At 39.9% G+C, this 22,243-nt stretch overlaps 1 long non-coding RNA gene across 4 annotated transcripts in view; it reads right to left on the bottom strand.

Annotated features, from left to right (window-relative positions):
• The window catches only part of LOC101928387 (uncharacterized), a 120,046-nt gene that overhangs the window by 51,084 nt on the left and 46,719 nt on the right, over positions 1 to 22,243 (bottom strand). For 2 of the 4 annotated variants that reach the window (XR_001749036.2, XR_001749035.2), the window contains exon 1: positions 18,693 to 19,217. The exons of 1 other annotated variant lie outside the window; for it this stretch is intronic. This is a non-coding gene — a long non-coding RNA (uncharacterized LOC101928387). Of the gene's footprint in view, positions 1 to 1,519; positions 2,447 to 18,692; positions 19,218 to 22,243 lie in introns of those variants that run through there. One more of the 4 variants, XR_007063237.1, reaches the window with a different exon arrangement.

The raw sequence follows: 22,243 nt of genomic DNA, 5'->3' as shown, positions 1-22,243 counted from the left end.
AGTGTGAGCCACTGCGCCTGGCCTCTGTTTGCATTTTGATTTGATAAAAAGCATAAATCCTTAAGAGAGAATACAAACCTCAGACTGGGAGAAAATATTTGCAAAATACTTATCTGATAAAGCACTATTATCTAAAATATGCAAAGAACTCTTAAAACTCAACAATCAGAAAACAAACAACTCAATTAAAAATTGGCAAAAGACTTTTGAACAGACACATTGCCAAAGAAGATATAAGATGGCAAGTAATCACATGGAAAGATGCTCAACATCATATGTTACTAGGAAAATGTGAGTTGAAACAATGAGGTGCCACTACACACCAATTAGAATGGCCAAAATCTAAAACACTGACAACACCAAATGCTGGTGAGGATGTGGAGCAGCAGGAATTCTCATCCATTGCTGATGGGAATGTAAAATGTTACGGCCACTTTGGAACAGTTTAGCAGTTTCTTACAAAACTAATCACACTCTTGCCATATGATCCAGCAATTGTGCTCCTTGGTATTTGCCCAAGTAAGTTGGAAACTTACATCTACACAAAAGCCTGCACATGCATGTTTATAGTAACCTTATTCATAATTGCCAAAACTTAGAAGCAACCAAGATGTCCTCAGTAAAATAATGGGTAAATAAACTGCAGTACAACCAGACAATGGAATATTACTCAGCAATAAAAAACTTTTCATAGTTACCAAACTATGAAAAGACATGGAGGAAACTTAAATGCATATTACTAAGTAAAAGAAGCCAATCTGAGAAGGCTACATACTTTGTGATTCCAACTGCTATACATGACATTCTGGAAAAGGCAAAATCATGAAGACAGTAAAAAGATCAATGGTTGCCAGGGCTTAGGTGGATGAGAGAGTCAGTAAAATTAAATTAAATGTATTAAAATTAATTTAATAAATTTTATATAAAATGTATATTATTTATATAAAGTAAATATAACTATAATTATAATATATAACTATATAATTATAATATGATAATTTTTCAGGTGTACAATGTGATGTAGGGTTTTGGGTTTCTTAAATAAATTTTATTGTGTATATTTAAGGTCTATAACTTGTTATGAGATACATATATAGTAAAATGGTTACTATAGTGAAATAAATTAACATATCCATCATCTCATTTTTCCCTCCTGTGGCAAGAGCATTTTTCCCATTTTTCCCTCCTGTGGCAAGAGCAGCAATAATCAACTCATTCAGCAGTTATAGAAACTATTAAATATATTAGATAATAACATGTATGTGATTTTTAAATTCCATATAAAATTTATTTTAGTCTGGTACATACGTTCTCTTTATTATAAGAAGAGAACCAAACAACAAGGAAAACACATCAGGAATTCTGAATTATACAGCAAAGAAAGCCCTGACCTGGCTCTTCATGTTTCCTACCAGCTGTTGACCCAGCACAGCTTATGCTCCAAGGCCTGTGCCGTGACCACCTCTGCAGACTCGCTAATGTAGCACCAAGGGGCACTTTGCTGGTGAGATTCTCCTACCTCAACTTGTTGTGAAGCAAGTAAGGACTGTACTTCCTCCTCCACTGTGTTGTTTGCCCCAGGTTGTCGAAGGGTGTGGTGTCCTCTGCCCGTCACCCTGAGACAGCACATGCCACAGGGCTTACGTACGCACCATGAGTCCACTGCCTGTCTACTTGGACCTGCGCCACACTTATTGTTTATATAATTTTGATGTCATTTCAAATTTACAAAAAAGTTCCAAGAAATTCTATGTACCTTTCAGCAGATTCCACAATTACTATTATTTACTTCTGTGTGTGTGTGTGTGTGTGTGTGTGTGTTTCATGAATTATCTGAGAATAAGTTGAGACATCATGTTCTTTGCCCCTAAAAACTTCAGGGTATATTTCCTAATTAAAAAGATTTTGTCTTTCATAACCACAGCATAATCACCAAAGTAAGGATTTTAACAAACTCAATACAAATCCCCTCAATGAAGGAACACTCTGCTAATGAGCCATAAAAAGTCCACTGGAGGATGATTTTCATCCAACCAAATATGACTGGAAAAATTTGTGCAAAAGGACTGAGGGTAAAAAATTAATACATTGAAGGTAGATTTAAGGGAAAAAATAGAAGGAGATAAGCTCAGGAACATAATATATACATCTTGTATGTTTTGATGACATAGAAATAAATTACTAATTTAATTAAAATTGAAGGAGAATAGAGAGAAAGGGTAAAAATAGAAAAAAGTTCATTGATTGGTATATAAGCAATAGGTGAGAGTCAAAGAAACCATTAAAAAATGGCAAACCAGCTGCACCAAAGGAAAAGTTTAAAAAAAAACTGGCAGACCAAGGCAAAAGTAAATTTTTAAAACAGGGGACACAGACCCCATCTCATTAAAAAAAAAAAATTAATAAAAATAGCCAGGCATGGCCGGGCGCAGTGGCTAACGCCTGTAACCCCAGCACTTTGGGAGGCCGAGGTGGGCGGATCACAAGGTCAGGAGATCGAGACCAGGATGGGGGCTAACACAGTGACACCCCCTCTCTACTAAAAAAATACAAAAAATTAGTCAGGCGTGTTGGTGGGCGCCTGTAGTCCCAGCTACTCGGGAGGCTGAGGCAGGAGAATGGCGTGAACCCGGGAGGCGGAGCTTGCAGTGAGCCGAGATCGCGCCACAGCACTCCAGCCCGGGCAACAAAGCGAGACTCCAAATCAAAAAAAAAAAAAAAAAGCCAGGCATGGTGACCCACACCTGCAGTTTCAGCTACTTGGGAAGCTAGCTTGAGTAGGGAAGCTACTTGGGAAGCTACTTGAAAGATAGCTTGAGGCCAGGTTTGAGGCAACCTAGCAAGAACCCCACCTCATTTAAAATAAAAATGAAAAAAAAAAAAAAAACAGGGGGCAAGAGCATTAACATATGCATAAAACAATAAAAGACCGAATACTAGAACAAAATATAGATTTTTAAAACACTAAAAGAAATTTTAGGTCGGACGCAGTGGCTCACGCCTGTAATCCCAGCACTTTAGGAGGCTGAGGTGGGTGGATCACCTGAACCCTGTGTCTACTAAAAATACAAAAATTAGCCAGGCATAGTGGCGCGCACTTGTAGTCCTGGCTACTCAGGAAGCTGAGGCAGGAGAATCGCTTGAACCCAGGAGGCGGAGGTTGCAGTGAGCCGAAATCGCACCACTGCACTCCAGCCTGGGCGGCAGAACGAGACTTTGTCTCAAAAGAAAAAAAAAAGAAAAGAACAAAAGCATAACCCAAATCTAATCGTGAAGAAATATCATGAATTAGCCCAACATCAGGCAAACTCACATTGAGGGGCATTCTATGCAATAACTAGTCTATATTCTTCAAAAACATGAAGGTCGTGAAAGACCAAAAAAAGGACTACAGAGTGGTTGCAGACGAAAGAAAGTCACGAGTGCTAATAGGGATTTGTGACCCGGGAGTCTGGATCAGTCTCTCTCTCATACATGTACACAGTACTTCAATCCATGTTACAATCCTAATTTTGGCAATTGTACTGAGGTTATGAAAGACAAAATTTTTGTTATTAGTATATACACCCTGAAGTATTTAGGGCTAAAGCGGCATGATGTCTCAACTTATTCTCTAAATGATTCATGAAAGATATTAATTTCTTACCATTAGTCCTTTTGTCAAAGTTTTTCCAGTCATATTTTTGGTTGGATGAAAATCATCCTCTAGTGGACTCTTCAAAAATAGCTCCTTAGGAGAGTGTTCCTTCATTTCTGTCATGTTTAAAATTGCTTTTCTATAGCCTTGACAGCTAAACAAGAGCTTAATTGGATATAAAGTTTTGGTTCACACTTTATTTCCTTGATTTTCTTGAAAAGGCTGTTCAGTTGCCTTGTTTTCTCTGTTGCTTGTGAGAAATCTGATGCCAGTATAATTATCTTGTTCTTTGACCTTTCTGCCTAAAAGCCATGAAGAATTTTTGTCTCTATCTTGAAATAAATAATTTTACTAGGACATGCCTCAGAGTTTGTTGTTCCAGGTCATTATTCCCAAGTACCTACTAAATTCTTTCAATATAAAGTCAGGCTGGGAGTGGTGGCTCATGCCAGTAATCCCAGCACTTTGGGAGGCCAAGGCAGGAGGATCTCTTGAGCTCAGGAGTTTGAGACCAGCCTGGGCAACATAGCGAGACCCTGTCTCAAAAAATATATATATATACACACATATATATATATATATACACATATATATATATACACACATATATATATACACACATATGTATATATACACACACACACACATATATTTGTGTATACATATGTACATATATATATGAAGTCAGTCCTTTTTTTATTTCCAGAAGGTTTTCTAGAATTATGGTTTTAATTATTTTATACTATTCCATTATTTTGTTGTTCTTCTGGAATTCCAGTTATGCCTAGAGCAACTTTTTTTTTTTTGCTTATCTTCCATTCCAATCATTTTACCCTAACCCTTTTTATTTCTTTTATTATTTCATTTTCACTCTCTTAGTTGTTTTTCTACTTTTCCTTTTGCTGAATTTTCATTCAAATATATTTTCTCTTAGGTACCTTGTTATATCTAAGAATTTAGTCTTTCCTGTCTGATATTTGGGTTTCTTCTTTTTCTTTCCTAGATTCAAACAACTGTAATTTTATTTCTCTTTTTGTAGAAGAACAGCCTCTTGCATGGTAGGAGTGATGCCATGATGCCACCTTTCTTTTTCTTTTTTTTCTTTTTTTTTTTTTGAAACAGGGTCTCGCTCTGTTGCCCAGGCTGGAGTGCAGTGGCATGATCTCAGGTCACTGCAACCTCCGCCTCCTGGGTTCAAGCGATTCTCCTGCCTCAGCATCCTGAGTAGCTGGGATTTCAGGCATGCACCACCACGCCCTGCTAATTTTTTCATTTTTTGTAGAAACGGGGTTTCGCCATGTTGGGCAGACTGGTCTCGAACTCTTGACCTCAAGTAATCCGCCCGCCTCTGCCTTTCAAAGTGCTGGGATTACAGGCGTGACCCACGGCGCCGGGCCAGTGGTGCCATCTTGAAGGGACACTGCCATGATGACAGACGTTTAACCCCCACCTACCAAGGTGTTCTGCAGCAAGGTCATCAATGCCTGGAGCGTAGATTACTCGTCATAAAGCTGCTGATATAATCCACATAGTAGCCACATATTGTGGCAAAAAAAAGTCTGAAGATGTAACCAGCTGCACGCATTTTACCGTAAATTGCTTGTTCTATAAAGAGTACTTTCTGGAGGGTGAGTGCAGGGATCCACCACCTCCCGATTGCCCAGGACATTGCTTCTGTTGGCGAGTCCCTATAAAATATTTCTTGTTGAGAAACTGAATTTGTTAACCTCTTTTCTTCAGCCTCTCAGCTCCCTCAACCTTTGGGAGTATGATTTCATGCACCTGCTCACCACAGAACAATTTTTGCTCATTCTTATTCTTAGTTTTTGAATTTCTGTTTCAAGATGCCTTTTAATATCTTGAAGTGCATGTTTGGGATTATTTATTTCAGTTTAGAATATATTTTTTGCTTCATGGCTGTTGGTTTTTAGAATTTTTTTCAGTTTTTAAAAAAAAAATTTAGGGTGGACCTTCTATTTCTGGAAGTGATTTTATCTCATTTCCTCTTCTATCTTCTGTGCAATGTTTTAGACCCCTTACCCCACCCACAACAGTCCACAAGTCTTTCAACAGAGCTTCAGAGAAAACTCTACGGGAAATAGGTGTTCATTTTTGTACACTCAAGTAATCTGAAATTTGTAGTGCCTTCAGTCTTTGAATAATACTGCAAGCATAGGATTCGCGTGGATTTCTTTTTTCTCATAAATCGCTATTGTTTTTCTGGAGAATTCGTGAAGACATTTGAATTTAGACTGCCAGCATTACCTCAGCTACCCAGAGATTGCTTCAATAACTGATTTTGAATGAATAAAAGCATTCAATGATACTATGACTTTATTTATATTCAGAAAGTAAAAATCTTACAACACACGGAACATATTAGATTTTACCAGATCTTCTGATACCAGAATTACAGGGATTGTCATATATTAATTATAAATTACAAAAATATTGGTTGTTTTGTTAAGAAAAATAATGTTCTCAATGAAAAAACATTATATTCAAAGTGCTAAATCTTATGTATTATGCCAGCTTCAATTGTAACACAAATATATGTGTTCCTTTTCATTTCACTGTCATCCCCAACTTAAACTAGACCTAAGATTTTTCTATTCTTTGCCAGACTTTTAGAAATTAAGTAGAGCACATTTTAAATAAAGTGGTATTGCTTTCATCTTTACCCCATTTTTGCTGAATGCTTGTATAAGAGTTTAATACTTGGGCACTTAGGACCACTCTTCATGTTCTATAACTAAAAGGACCAGTGTATTTGTAAACTAACTGGGGCATGGCAGTCAACCCAGATTTGCAGCAAATCTTCACCCATATTGCAAACCAGATGGAGAACTTAACTATTTTATGGTATCTAGCAGCTGTCTTCTTTTTGTGTTCACATGCATAGAGCTAAACCCACAGGCTGCTGTGTACCCCTATGAAGTAAGAGGCTTAGAAATCATATTTTTCTAGGTTTTCCCTTGTTTCACTTCTAAAATACTCTTGAAACATTAACCAATTTGAGGGTAAACCAAATAAGCAAACACAAGGAAGTCCTATCCAAATACAGCCTGCTATCTATGCAATAGGTAACTTCATTTCACCACATGGTATACTCACAAATGTTTTACTACAGAGTTTGTACACAAATTGGGAATAAAGACCAGTGAATTGCCCTCTGATATAACTTATTGCTCAATAGAAGACCGTTATTTTTTTAAATGGCAACAAAATCTCACTGGCCGGAAAGACCTGCATATGGTTCATTTCTTTCTGGTATGTGCTAAATCAGAGCCTCAAAGAGAACTAGGTGGGGAGGCCCGATGTAATGCTCTCCTTACAGAAGACAAATGGCAAAACAGATGGTAGAGTATAAAGCAATTCCAGCTCTTTATCACTTTGGTTCTTCCAGAATTAAACATTTAGACCACAGTGATTTTCAAATATATCCGTGAAAAAGCAGGAAAACAAAAAAGGCATGCCTATATTCCTGGAATTCAAGCCATAGTCATGGAGATGGGATTCATCTGGGCCTCAATAAAATCAGAGTGTGAAGATTAATCTTCTAATGCAAAATTAACATGTGAATCAAAGCTCTCTGGTGCTTCCTGGTTCTTGAATGGAAACTGGTTTTGCAAGTAAGGTATTTTTTTTTAAGGCTGACTGAACCCTTAGCTAGATGGAAATCTTTTATTTACATCATATAATCGACGAATTATTTTATTTTATTTTTTTATTTTTTATTTATTTATTTTATTTTATTTATGTTTTTTTTTTTGAGACGGAGTTTCGCTCTTGTCACCCAGGCTGGAGTGCAATGGCGCTATCTCGGCTCACTGCAACCTCCACCTCTGGGGTTCAAGCGATTCTCCTGCCTCAGCCTCCCGAGTAGCTGGGATTACGTGCCACCAAGCCCAGCTAATTTTTATATTTTTAGTAGAGACGGGTTTTCGCCATCTTGGCCAGACTGGTCTGGAACTCCTGACCACAGGTGATCCACCCACCTTGGCCTCCCAAAGTCCTGGGATTACAGGTGTGAGCCACCACACCTAGACAGTTGACCAATTTTTTAAATGTTCATTTTCATAGCAGGAACCAAAAGCAACTATAGATTAAACAAACCTACAAAACTCTCTGATTTCACTGTGAAATGTGGTCAGAGATCCATTTGCACAAAGACGTTAACCAGTATGACCCCAGCCTCAGCTTAAAGACCCAACAAGGGTAGTGAAAAGGACAGTGGAGAAGGAGAGAATGGGAGAAGGCAAAGATGCAAAGAAAAACACTTGATGTGGGGTACTCTAAATCACTGCTATGAATGAACCTGATAATAAATACCCTCATGGAAAGAATATATAAATACCAATCATAGAAATACCAATCATAACAGCCTAGCATTCCTACACAATTACTGCTGCAACATAATTAATGTGGTATTAAATTATCGCTTTAAGAGCTACAAGTATTTAAAAAATGAGCTGATTTCAAATAAAAAATTATTTCACAGTTCAGTCTTCAGTCTAACGCTCTCCCAACTGAGCTATTTCGGCTGGGCAACAGTTCAGTCTTAAGGATCATAAAAGTCAGACATCATAACAAAAGCAAATGTAACCCTTACATCCCAAATCTGTCATTTCCAAGGGGTTCCTCTCCAGTGGTGTCAATCAATAAAAAACAGCATTTCCTCCAAAGACTCAGCTGGACAAGAATGTCCAGCTTTTCTGACACAATGCTGCCCAATCCTACTGGTTGAAGAAAAAACAGAGATTCTGAGAGAAACAAGTTTTAGGCAATTAGGATGCTATCTCTCCAGAGCTCCAAGAAAAATCAGAGATTAGGATATCCAGAAGAAAATAAAGGTTTAATTTGTATTACACACATACAGAAAAGCTAAGATGAGTTATGGAATAGGTAAAGCTTATATTCTGGGCCCTGATCCTTTTATTTCCTTCCTGTGAACAAAACAAAACAGACAGCTTCTTGGGTATGAAAGTGAATACTGGACTTAGAGACAGAAACACAACTTTGCCACTTCCTAAATTACTCACTACGTTGTCAAATTCTATTCCCAGACAGGACACAAAAGTCATTTATTCTGAACTCTGACCTCTAACTACTACTGCACTAGACACCGAAGTCCAAGAGATCATCTCTATCTCCACTCCTGCGTTAGTTGTTTGGTTTGAGACAAGTGCATGCGTGCACGTCCAAAACAAAAATATGTTTTCAACAGAGCTAGGGAGCAATTATATGGCAACATGGAAACAAATGTGAAACGCAAACAATATGTTCTGCAGTAAAATTTAAAGAAATTCAAAGTTCAGGTAAGACACATTCAGGAAGGGAAGACTAAGAGTTCCAAGGTAGAAAACAGGTTCCTTTCCATCCCAGAGAGCCTCTCAATCCTCAGTGCTGCTCTCAGCTAGCTGTCCACTCTCCTCCCTTAGGTGTGAGCAAACTCTTTAAGGTATTCCCTCCTAGAAACTCACATAGATGTAGTCAAAGTCTTGAACTTTGATTCAGGAAAAAGCCAAGATGGTCAACTAGTCACTGCCAGGAGAGCATCTCCCACCACAAGACAAGACCATCAAGCAGACCAGTACACTCCCAGCAGATCAAATAAGAAAGGCATTGAGAGTGTACCGAAGGAAGACATAAACTCTGGGCTGAAGGGGAAGGAAGCTGGGAACCCTGCACCGGACTACAGAGCACCAGAACTCATTCCTGACCCCCAGCGACTCCTTTGCATGGTTTGAGTTAAACAGGCGAGGAGTGGCCCACTCTCACCAAGAACCTCGTAGTTGCAGGAGAGCCCACGACCCTCGTGGACATTTGAGCTGACAGAGCTGTTTGGAGAGGTGGCAGGGACAGAACTCTAGCTTGTGATGAGACCAGAAGGTTTGGCATGGAACAGCTGAGGTGGAGCACTGGCTAGGGACACCCATCCGCCAAGGCTTGCCAAGCTCCTCCAGGTGGTTTGACTTTTGTTCACTGATGGAGCTGGACAGAACATGGCTATCTTGTCCATGGGATGGGCCCCATCTGATTTGAGTAGCCCACAGTCTGCCCGCCTTTTTCAGGTTCTCTGCCCAGCAGTACCCACTTGCAGGGCAGCGTCAGATGCCAGAAGGGAGCACTTCCCATTGGCCCCACCATAGCTCCTTCACAGACTAACCTCACCTACCACAGTGCACACCCACCCCTGGCCTCCCCCCACCACTTTGCTGGCACACACTCACCTGTATCCCCCACCTACTGCTAATCCACCACTAGGCACTGAAGGAACATACCTCAAAATAATAAGAACCATCTATGACAAACCCACAGCCAATATCATACTAAATAGGCAAACACTCGAAGCATTCCCTTGAGAACCAGAACAGCACAAGGATGCTCACTCTCACCACTCCTGTTCACGTGGTACTGGAAATCCTAGCCAGAGCAATCAGGCAAGAGAAAGAAATAAAAGGCATCCAAATAGGAAGAGAGGAAGTCAAACTCTCTCTCTCTGGAGATGATATCATTCTATACCTAGAAAATCCCACGCTCTATGCCCAAAAGCTCCTAGATCTGATAAACAACTTCAGCAAAATTTCAGAATACAAAAATGATGTACAAAAATCAGTAGCATTTCTACATATCAACAATATCCAAGCTGAAAGCCAAATCAAGAACGCAATCCAATTCACAATACCCACAACAAAAATAAAATACCTAGGAATAGAGCTAGCCAGGGAGGTGAAGGATCCCTACAACAACAATTACAAAACTCTGCTCAAAGAAATCAGAGACAACACAAACAAATGGAAATAGTTTCCATGCTCGTGGATAGAAAGAATCAATATGGTTAAAATGGCCATACTGCCCAAAGCAATTTACAGATTCAGTGCTATTCCTATCAAACTTTTACAGAATTAGAAAAATTCTAATTTTTTACAAAATTAGAAAAACCTATTCTAAAATTCATGTGGAACCAAAAAAGAGCCTGAATAGCAAAAACAATACTAAGTAAAAATAACCAAGCCGGAGGCATCATACTACCCAACTTCAAACTACACTGCAAAGCTACAGTAACCAAAGCAGCATGGTAATGGTACAAAAGCAGACACATAGACCAATGGAACAGGTTACAGAACTCAGAAATAATACTGCATACCTTCAACCATATGATCTTTGACAAAGCTGCCAAAAACAAGCGATGCGGAAAGGAATCTCTAGTCAATAAATTGTGCTGGGATAATAGGCTAACCATGTGCAGATGGTTGAAGCTAAACCCCTTCCTTTCACCATATACAAAAATCAATCCAAGATGGTTAAAGACTTAAATGTAAAGCCTAAAATTATAGAAAACCTAGGAGATACCATACTGGACATCAGCCCTGGAAAAGATTTCATAATGAAGACCCCAAACGCAGTTGCAACAAAAACAAAAATTGACAAATGGTACCTAATTAAAGAGCTTCTGCACAGCAAAAGAAATTATCAACAGAGTAAACAACCTACAGAAAGGGAGAAAATATTTGCAAATTATGCATCCAACAAAGGTCTAATACCCAGCACCTATAAGGAACTTAAACAAATTAAGAAGAAAAAAAAAACATTAACAAATGGGTAAAGGACATGAAGAGACACTTTTCAAAAGATGACTTACATGTGGTCAACAAGCAGATGAAAAAATGGTCAACATCACTGATCGTCAGATCAATGCAAATCAAAATCACAATGAGTTACCATCTCATACCAGTCAGAATGGCTATTACTAAAAAGGCAAAAAATATCAGATGCCAGCAAGGTGGCAGAGAAAAGGGAATGCTTATACACAGCTCACAGGAATGTGAATTAGTTCAGCCATTGCGGAATTCAGTTTGGAGAGTTCTCAAAGAACTTAAAACAGCACTACCATTTGATCCAGCAATCCCATTGCTGGGTATGTAGCCAAAGGAATATAAATTGTTCTACCATAAAGACACAAGCATGTGTATGTTCGTTGCAGCACTATTCACAATAGCAAAGGCATGGAATCAACCTAAATGCCCATCAACAGTAAACTGTATAAAGAAAATGTGGTTCATATACACTGTGGAATTCTATGCAGCCATAAAAAACAATGAGATAATGCCCTTTGTAGCAATGTGGATGCAGCTGGAGGCCATTATCCTAAGCAAACTAACACAGGAACAGAAAACACCACATGTTCTCACTCATAAGTGGGAGCTAAACATTGAGTACACATAGACACAAAGAAGGGAACAAAAGACACCTGGGCCTACTTGAGGGTGGAGACTGGGAGGAGGGTGAAGATTGAAAAACTATCTATCAGGTACCATGCTTGTTACCTGGATAATAAAATAATCTGCACACCAAACCCTTATGTTATGCAATTTGCCCATGTAACAAACCTGCACATTTACCCTCTGAACCTAAAATAAAAATTGGAAAGAGAAAAAAAAAAAGTCTTGAACTTTAATAGAGCGCTCATAAAGTCTAAAAAGCTACTAGATCTCAAAGGAATGAAATCCCTAACTGTAAAATTTTAGACCAAATTACAAGGCCTTGAGCTTGGGGAACTGGGGACATGGAGCACACATGTGTGAATATATTCAGAATACCTCTCCTATCATACCTCATGGGTAATTATATGTTTTTAATAATCATAAGACCAGCCCTTAATGAGTTGATTTAGCCTGAAAATCTTCAAAGCAAAGGATTAGCTTCACCTAGGCAACTGTTTATTATTTCATTTGCTTCTATCAAGATTACTAAATCATAAATTCTTTTCTGTTTCCAAAAGTCTAACACAGTGCTTTGTACATATTTATGTCCTTGATAAAAATTTTTAACTTGAGTTTTTATCCTAAAGGTTTTCAAACCAATTCAAGAAACCAATTTCCTCTTCTAACAAATCAATTGAGACATGAAGCATTACGGATAGAACCCAGAAACTTACAAAATGAAGCGACAATAGAATAACCTGAAAAACTGATGAATCACTGACTCACTTTTTATGCAAAACATTCAAGCAGTAATGCCTAAAATGGGACTAATACAGGCTGGGCGCTGTGGCTCACGCCCATCATCCCAACACTTTGGAAGGTCGAGGCGGTTGGATCACTTGAGGTCAGGAGTTCAAGACCAGCCTGACCAACATGGTGAAACCCCGTCTCTACTAAAAATACGAAAATTAGCCAGGCGTGGTGGCACTAGCCTATAATCCCAGCATCTCAGTAGGCTGAGGCAAGAGAATCGCTGGAACCTGGGAGGCAGAGGTTGCAATGAGCCAAGATCACGCCATTGCACTCCAGCCTGGGCAACAAGAGTGAAACTCTGTCTCAAAAAAAATACAAAAAGATAAGTCTCTTGAAACGCTTCTTAGATGGAGATGGAACCTCATGGGATAGTAAACTCACAACATATTAGGTAAAGATTTTGTATGAGTTTACCTCTCCCTCACTGCGTAAATCTTCTAAAACCACGGTCTACTTCTAAGAGAACAAAATAATTGTTCTTGGGGCATCAGCATTAGCAAAAAAGGGAGGCAAATAATGGAACAATTATCTGAACACTATAACCAGAATAAACAGCCAACCTTCCTTTAGGCCTTCCTTTCATGTTTGTTTCCTGTTCTATTAAAGAGTGTTTTGGAGATAAAAAATAGAGTTTCTTTGCCTAAAAGATCTGATTGCCGGGAATCTGGTCACTTAACCTAAAATCATCAATTACCAGGGTTTTTTTTTAAATTCCAAAAACTTTATGCATGGGACCCCAAGGTCATTTTGAAAGAAGTACAGAAAATAGTCCTTTGCCAATGTTCTTTTACTGAAGAATTGGCTTTAATAAAACAGGACTTGGGTTTCCAGAGAATCAAAAGGCACTAGGGTGGTTATTTTCCTTAAAAATTAAAAGTAAAACCACCAACTCTTCAAGCTCAGCGCAAAAAAAGTCTGCTAACTATCAAAAGCTGAAGTTTACACAAAGGTAAATCAGAATCAATTGCCAATCTTTTTAGGGAAAAGCAAGAACAAATATGTAAATTCCTGGCTACTATCCTGTTGTTACAGGATAGTGTTTATAAAACATTTTATGCAATGTTTCCTTGCCAATTAAAGGTGAGTGTGGCATTTGCCTTTTAGTTTTATTATCTTTGCCTAACCTTTATAATAGTAACATAAGCCAAAGGGATTAAGGAAACGACTGGATAACATGTATCTGCAAAACTGTCTTCACTGGAAATTATTGTCAGGGTAAAAGGAAATGGTATTAGGGCCCTGAAAGAGGGACAGGCTGGATTTCCTTTAAATATAATTGGTAGAACTTGAAATATGTTTGCATTTGTAATGTCAAAGCCTGATGATCTAGTCGTTGCAGAAATTCTGTGAGCTACCTAACACCCTTTAATAAAGCCCTTTCTGTTACAACTAGCAAGAGGGATTCAAACTAAGAACAGTAAACCACAGAATAACTAAGGCCAAACATTTTGCTGTCAACAGACACGCAAAGAAGTAAGAATCTTGGACTAATTTTTTTTCCTCAGTTGGATTTGAAAGCAGTGACGATCCTATTATCATTACAGGACTGGTAGTTCATCTTACATGGGACGAAAGTGTTCCTTACGTGATCACCTGCAGTAACCTGGAATGAGGTAACCTTCTGTTGGCAAGACTGAATGACTCCTGCTTCCACACAGGAAAGCTTAAATAAAGAAAATTCCAAGCTCAATATTAAAGTTATCAGCTCAAGGCACAATCACGATTAAAGGGTTTCTATGACTACCCTAAAAAAGAGTCCCCTATATCTTGCAGTTGTTTGGCCAAGACTACTGAAACTCAGACAGAATTTGCCCAATTGCAAAGTAGGTTGCTTTCACAGCCCTCTGTTAAGTAGCTAATTGAGAAAGAGTGGGGCCCTAAGAGTTGGAATGGAGTCCAATGGCATCCAAAACCCTTAAAACTACTAAGCCTCTCTTGCCAGATGAAATAATTTCCTTGTCCATTAAGTTAAGTCTGCTCCTGACAATATAGGAGCCTTGATTTTTAAATACCTCTCCTAAGGTAGTTGCTTCTCAAGGGGTGCCAATTCCCCCCAAGCCTCTCTCCTCCTTGCTTCTATACTCATGACTAAAGACGTAATCCAACATGCCCTTTAAGATAAGTTACAAAGTCAAACCATGAAATATACAACAACAATAAATTACAAGAATTGACTAATTTATATCACCAGAAACCTGGAGAATAAATGTAAAAAGGGATTCTGGGAATGACAGATTAGAGGGAACGGAACATAATTTTAGATTTTCTAAACTTATAAACATGGAAACAAATGCCAAAAATTCTGGATCCAATATACGAGTTCTAGGTAACCCACATGGCTTTCAGCTGTTTTCTTGGTTGCTTAACTCAAATCTGGAGTCAGTCGTCACCTATGCTAAATGAGGCTGAGTTCCCAGATCATGCAATGAGAAGGAAAAAAAAAAAAAAGATCTAGAGAGATGAGAGTAATAAACTAAAATTATCATATGCAACTAACTTATCTGTCCCCAACTTTGTCTCCCAATAATAAACTAAAATTATCATATGCAACTAACTTATCTGTCCCCAGATTTGTCTCCTAAAAAGGTCCAGGTCTCCAGGTCTTTACCAGGGCCCTGAGAAATATTTAAAGACTAAGGGAAGTACCAGTTCTTTTGAAAAGCACTTTAGGCCGGGTGCAGTGGCTCATGCCTGTAATTCTAGCACTTTGGGAGGCCAAGGCGGGTGGATTACCTGAGTTTGGGAGTTCAAGATCAGCCTGGACAACATGGTGAAACCCGGTCTCTACTAAAAATTCAAAATCAGCTAGGCGTGGTGGTGCATGCCTGTAATCCCAGCTACTCGGGAGGCTGAGACAGGAGACTCACTTGAACCTGGCAGGTGGAGGTTGCAGTGAGCTGAGATCGCGCCATTGCACTCCAGCCTGGGCAACGAGAGCAAAACTCCGTCTCAAAAAAAAAAAAAAAAAAAAAGAATATACATGCATATCTATGGAAATTATTTCAGAGACATGTTATAGTCACCTCAGATTCCCAAAGCTTCACCTGTCTCTCAGGCACACAACTGCCCCTGCTGCCACCACCACCGCATCTACTGACATCTCTGGCTATCTCATTCTGTCCTGAGGTGAATGCTAGGCTCTGGAAACATGGCCTTCCTAATGCCTTCTCATCATGCCAGAAGCTGCAGAAGCTCTGGCACCTCTTGGCGCAATTCAGTCGGACCCGTGTAGGTTCCGATTCCTCCTGCCCTTCTAAACTCCAATGCAGACTCCAAAGAATTGGCATTCCACAGGGTGGGACGTGGCCTCCGCAGCAGCTGCCCAAAGAAGCCAGGTGATACCACCTAAAAGTGCATGGACTGAACTCGCCATGAGGCAAACATTGACCAATAGGAGAGAAATGAGACGGAAGGAAGGTAATGGAGCAATCCATCTCTCTTTCCCCCTCCAGTGGACTATTCCAACATGTCTTTTCTGTATGTACAGCCTGTCTGGTATTGTCCTGTCTGAGTGGACATCATATTCTTCACAGTTCATGAGGCGGTGGCCAGCTTGGTAACATGCCAGTTTCCATTTGCTTTCCATCCTTCTTTCTCTTGTTTCCCTGTTCCGTGTCTCTCTATCCCAGAATATCACCTTTCAATAAAACCTTACCACTTGTCTTGCTTCAGCCTCTGTTTTTTAGGGACAGTGATAAATTTGAAAATTTAGAGGACATGGTTAGTTTTCTACCAAAATAAAAACTACTATGTTTTGCCAAGTAAGAGATAGAAAATCTGACCAGATCAGTCATCACAGAAAACACTGGAAAGCTAAGTAAAGGTCTGCCATTTTTTAAAAGATACTAAGCCCAGAAAATACAACAGCTGAATTATATTTAAGTTTTAAAGTACAAATAATTCCTAATTTATTTTCTCCATTCTCAACCAGGCAATTCATTTTATTTATGTTATGCATTATTGTGCTATTAACATAGCATAATAAAGATAATTCAAAAAAAGAAAACTATAGGCAAATTTCACTTATGAATAAAGATGCAAACATTTAAAAATGACATCAAATGAATTTTGACAATGCATTAAAAGAACAATTCATCTGTATGAGTCCATTCTCACACTGCTATAGACATACCTGAGACTGGGTAATTTTATAAAGAAAAGAGGTTTAATCTGCCCATGGTTCTATGGGCTGTACAGGCTTCTGTTTCTGGGGAAGTCTCAGGGAACTTATCATCATGGCAGAAGGCAAAGGGAAAGTAGATACACCTTCACATGATCGGCAGGAGAGAGAGAGCAGAGGAGGAGTTGCTACACACTTTCAAACAACCAGATCTTGTGAGAACTCTATCACAAGACAGCACTAGGAGGATGGTGCTAAACCATTAAAAGCCAACCCCAAGATCCGGTCACTTCCCACCAGGCCACTCCTCCAACAATGGAGATTACAATTCAACATGAGATTTAAGTGGGGCCACAAATCCAAACCATATCAACATAATAACCGAATTTTAAATCACATTAGCAGATCACATAAATGTAAACATGTATGAGATAATTTAATAATTTTCTTAACATAACACAAGACCCTTCAAAAAGATCTATCTCTTTTTTTTTTTTTTTTTTTTTTTTCTTTTTTTGAGACAGAGTCTTGCTCTATCGCCAGACTGGAGTGCAATGGTGTGATCTCGGCTTACGGCAACCTCTGCCTCCCAGGTTCAAGCAATTCTCCTGCCTCAGCCTCCAGAGTAGCTGGGATTATGGGCACATGCCACCACGCCCAGCTAATTTTTTTTTTAATTTTTAGTAGAGACAGTGTTTCACCATGTTGGCCAGGATGGCCTTGATCTCCTGACATCATGATCCACCCGCCTTGGCCTCCCAAAGTGCTGGGATTACAGGCATGAGACACTGCACCCGGTCAAATAGATCTATCTCTTATACACACACACTCTAACCATATGAATAAAACATATTAAAGATACATCTAGTTTCTTCCCAGAATCTTTTCAAACCTTCTTTATGCTTTTCCCTCATTCTTCAACTGCTGACACCAGAATGTCTTTGAGGTCAGTAGGACTAGCTCACAGTAAATTTCAATAGGGGTGGTATCAGCATTTGAGGAAAGATCATTCTACTTTATGTAAGCCTGACTTAGGCATGGCAGGACGTTTAGCTTCTCTGACCCTGGGCATTAAATATCATAGCACACCCAAGTAATTGGCAACAAAAAAAATCCTCCATTCATTTCCAAGTGCTTGATGAGGATGACCCACGCCTGGTTAAGAACAATTGAGGGGCTACCCCTTACCTGTTCTGAGTAGTTACTGGGATACAGAGAGCTACCCCTACACCTGTAGCCCAGTAATTACTGGGAACTCTCTCCACCTCCTCAGACAACCCGATTCCCACTTCTTTCCTGCCCCTCCATTCTAATCTATCTCCTTCCGAAACTGGAGAGGGCGCCCATCATTTTAGTTCTCTTGGCCTTTCCTATCTGAGTGTGCTAGAACATCAGAACCCAGAAAACACAAATCACCAGCGAACAAGATGATGTGCACTTCCATACACAGTGCACAAGGAAGCAGAAATGTCCATGAGGTGCTTTTAGATAGCTAAGTCATCAATTCGCTTGTCATTTGTTGATTGTATGGGCATTGAAACAACAGAATTTCCACAGAGCCAAAAATGAAAATCCACCATGTCCTATCTGGTCAAAGGATCCCCCACTGCCGAGGCTCTTTTTCTCCTCTGAGTCTCAGTATAGCAAATGGTTAACAGCACAGGCCCTAGAGAGATGGAATTTGGATATAAATCCAAATTCCACTCTTGCCCTTTCTTCTATATTTGAAAAAACTGTTGGTTTTGACAAAATATAATTTATATTTCTTATCTTCATGCAAGGTTTTTACTGAGTCCTCCATACTTTTCTTCCTGCATCTTCCACTAATTTGCTTTGCCTCTGTTGGTCTTTTGCCAAGTTTCCTAAGGATTCTTAGCCACACTACTAGGTTTAGTCCTTTGGAGGGAAAAAATACCTGATTCTTCACTTCAGGAGCATTTCTTGCCTTCATTTTTCACTTCAGGAATGACAAGGAAGGATGCATAACCAGGTGTTTGGCAGACTGTCACAGAGAAGAGTCCAGATTTACCATGAGCAGCGTAGAATCCACCCTTACTGGCTAGGCAATCTTGCACAGGTCACTTAATCTCTCTGAGCTTCATTTTTCTCACCAAAAGAAATGGGAAAAAATGTGCCAAAATCACAAAGCTGTGGTAAAGAACAAATAAAACAGTGAGGTTGCAAATACCCTTTGCGTGGGGTGAGAAATTATTCATGTGCTCACTTTCATTCTCCACAAAACTTTAATTTTCTCATGTTCTCTGGATACTTTCTCTGATGTTGAGTTATGGAAGTCATTAAAACAGTACATGAGAGAAGGCTTTAGATCCTTGTCTTAGTCCACTTGGGCTACCATAATAACGTACCCTAAATTAGATGGCTTATAAACAACAAAGGCCAGGCAGGGTGGTTCACAGCTGTAATCCCAGCACTTTGGGAGGCCAAGGCAAGCAGATTGCTTAAGGCCAGGAGTCTGAAACCAACCTGGCCAACATGGTAAAATCCCATCTCTACTAAAAATACAAAAATCAGCTGGGCGTGGTGGCACACTGCTGTAATCCCAGCTTCTTGGGAGGCTGAGGCACAAGAATTGCTTGAACCCAGGAGGCAGAGGTAGCAGTGAGCTGAAGTTGTGCCACTGCATTCCAGCCTGGGAGACAGAGCATGACTTTGCCTCAAAAAAAAAAAAAAAAAAAAAAAAAAAAAAACCACGAAATTTATTTCTCACAGTTCTGGAGTTGAGGACGTCCAGGATCAAGTTGCCAGCAGATTCTGGTGAGGGCTGACTTCCTGGTTCATGGACCACCATCTTTTCACAGTGTCCTCATATGGCAGAGGGGGCATGGGAGCTTTTAACAGTTTCTTTTATAAGGGCACAAATATGATTCATGAGGGTTCTGTCTTCAGGATCTAATCACCTCTCAAAGCCCTCCTCTCCTAATACTATCATATTGGGGGTTAGATTTTAACTCATGAACATTGGTGTCACCTAAACATTCAATCTACAGCATTTCATACTTACCCCCGCAAAATTCATGTTTTTCTCACATATAACATACACTCACTGCATCCCAACAGCACCAAAAGTCTTAACTCGTTCCATCTTTAATTCTAAAATCTAAAATCCAAAGTCTCCTCTAAATATCATCTAAATCAGATATGGGTAAGAGTCAAGGTGCAATCCACCCTGAGGCAATTCATCCTGTCCACTGTGAACCTGTGAACCCGAAAGAGTTACGTGCTTTCAAAATACAGTGGTGTGATAGGCATAGGATAAACATTCCCATTCCAAAAGGGAAAAACAGTAAATAAGAAAGGAGTAACAGAGCTTGAGAAGAAACTTTGACCTGATGCTCTGCCCTCCAGGCCCACTGGGGCATGGATCCCATCTATCAGACCCATTGAGGCAGCAGTCTGGCCCCTGCAGACTTGTTGGGCAGGGGTTGGCCCAAGGCTTCAGGCAGCTCTGTACCCATGGCAGTTCTCTGCCTTGACCCTGCAGCTTTCCAGGGCTGGGGTCCCTAGTCCATGACTCTACCAGGAGGCCTCGTCCTTTGAAATCTAGGTGGGGACAACCATAGCCTGACAGCTGTGCTGAACATAGCTCATGCCACCCTGGGATCCACCGGAACGCTACCTAGGGTTGCTGAGGAGAACAGAGCTGGAGTGTAGGGAATGGAGTCCTTGATGTGAGGCAAGGCCTGTGTGCCAAACTCCTGCGGGCACCAGGCATCAGCAAGCCTCTTCTTGGAAACCATTCTATCCCTCCCTGCCCCCAACCCTTGTACTATGGGCCTGCAATAGAAGGGACAACTCTGATGGTTTCTGAATTGCCTCCAGGGGTTCTCCATTCTCTTGGAGAATAGCTGGTAGCTTCTTTTGAGATGGTTGACAAATCTCCTTATCAAACAGTCATTTGGCCACCCCCTTAGTTTTCTCTCTTAAACCAGGTTTCTCATTCCAATATGGATAGGCTGAGAATTTTCCAAATCTTTAAGTTCTGCCTCCCTTTTGATGAACCATCCCATCTTTAAATAACTTCTTTTTTCTCATTTTATTATAAGCAGTCAGGAGAAACCAGTCCACTCCTTCAACACTTCACTTAGAAATTCACAGCCAAATATCCAATTTCATTTCTTGCAAGTTCTACTTTACACAAAACACTGGGACAGGAACACAATTCAGCCAAGTTCCTTAAGACTTTATAATAGAGACCACCTTCTTCCAGTTTTCAATAACAAGTTCTTCTTTTCTGTCTGAGACCTCATCAGAACAGCTTTTACTCTTCATATTTCTACCAACATTCTGTTCAAGATTATTTAGGTGTTCTCTAAGAAGATTGATCCTTTCTCTACTGTTCTCTTTTCTTTCTGAGCCCTCATCAACATTGCTTTCAAAGGACTATTTATGGCAATGTAGGCTTTTTCTAGCATGCACCTCAAAAGTTTTCCAGCTTCTACCCATTACTCAGTTTCAAAGACACTTCCACATTACAGATATTTGTTATAGCAACACTCCCACTTCTTGGTACCAATTTCTGTCTTAATCCATTCGGACTACTATAACAAAATACCATAAACTTGTTGGCTTATAAACAACAGAAATTTATTCCTCACAGTTCAGGAGGCTAGAAAGTTCAGGCTCAAGCTGTTGGCAGATTCACTGTCTTGTGAGAGTCCACTTCCTTGTTCATAGATGGCCATCTGCTTCTTTTTTTTTTTTTTTTTTTGAGATGGAGTCTCACTCTGTCACCCAGGCTGGAGTGCAATGGCACGATCTTGGCTCACTGCAACCTCTGCCCCCCGGGTTCAAGTGATCCTCCTGCCTCAGCCTCCTGAGTAGCTGGGATTATAAGTGCGTGCCCCCACGCCTGGCTAATTTTTGTATTTTTAGTAGAGATGGGTTTTCACCATGTTGGCCAGGCTGGTCTTGAACTCCTGGCCTCAGGTGATCCACCTGCCTTGGCCTCCCAAAATGTTGGGATTACAGGCGTGAGCCACCGTGCCTGGCCTAGATGGCCATCTTCTTACTCAGGTGGCAGAAGGAGCAAGGGAGGTCTCCAGGTTCTCTTTTATAAAGCACTAGTCCCATTTTTGAGGGCTCTGCCTTCATGACCTACTCACCTCCCAAAGGCTCCACCTCCTAATGTCATCAGATTGAGAGGTAGGTTTCAACATATGAATTTTAAGGGAACATAAACATTCAATCTTATAGTCAGCCTCAGTTATTGGCATACAGCCTCATGCATAGGGACTTTTTCTATATGCTTCTTGTTAAAGTACCTCCAAATTATTGGAGAATGAGAATTATTCTCCAAATTATTGGTTAATATTGATATATTTAATCTTTTCAAGTTACTTCATTGTAACAATTCTCCCTTCAGAATGAAGCAGGTCTAAGGCTCTAATTCTTAACATGTGTACTTGGAAATCCGTGTTTGATTTGAACTAGTGAAATTGAGTCACA

This window comes from Homo sapiens, chromosome 12 (genome assembly GCF_000001405.40).
Source record: "Homo sapiens chromosome 12, GRCh38.p14 Primary Assembly".
NCBI classification, from domain to species: Eukaryota; Metazoa; Chordata; class Mammalia; order Primates; family Hominidae; genus Homo; species Homo sapiens.
This window is presented reverse-complemented; position numbering and strand designations above follow the sequence as displayed.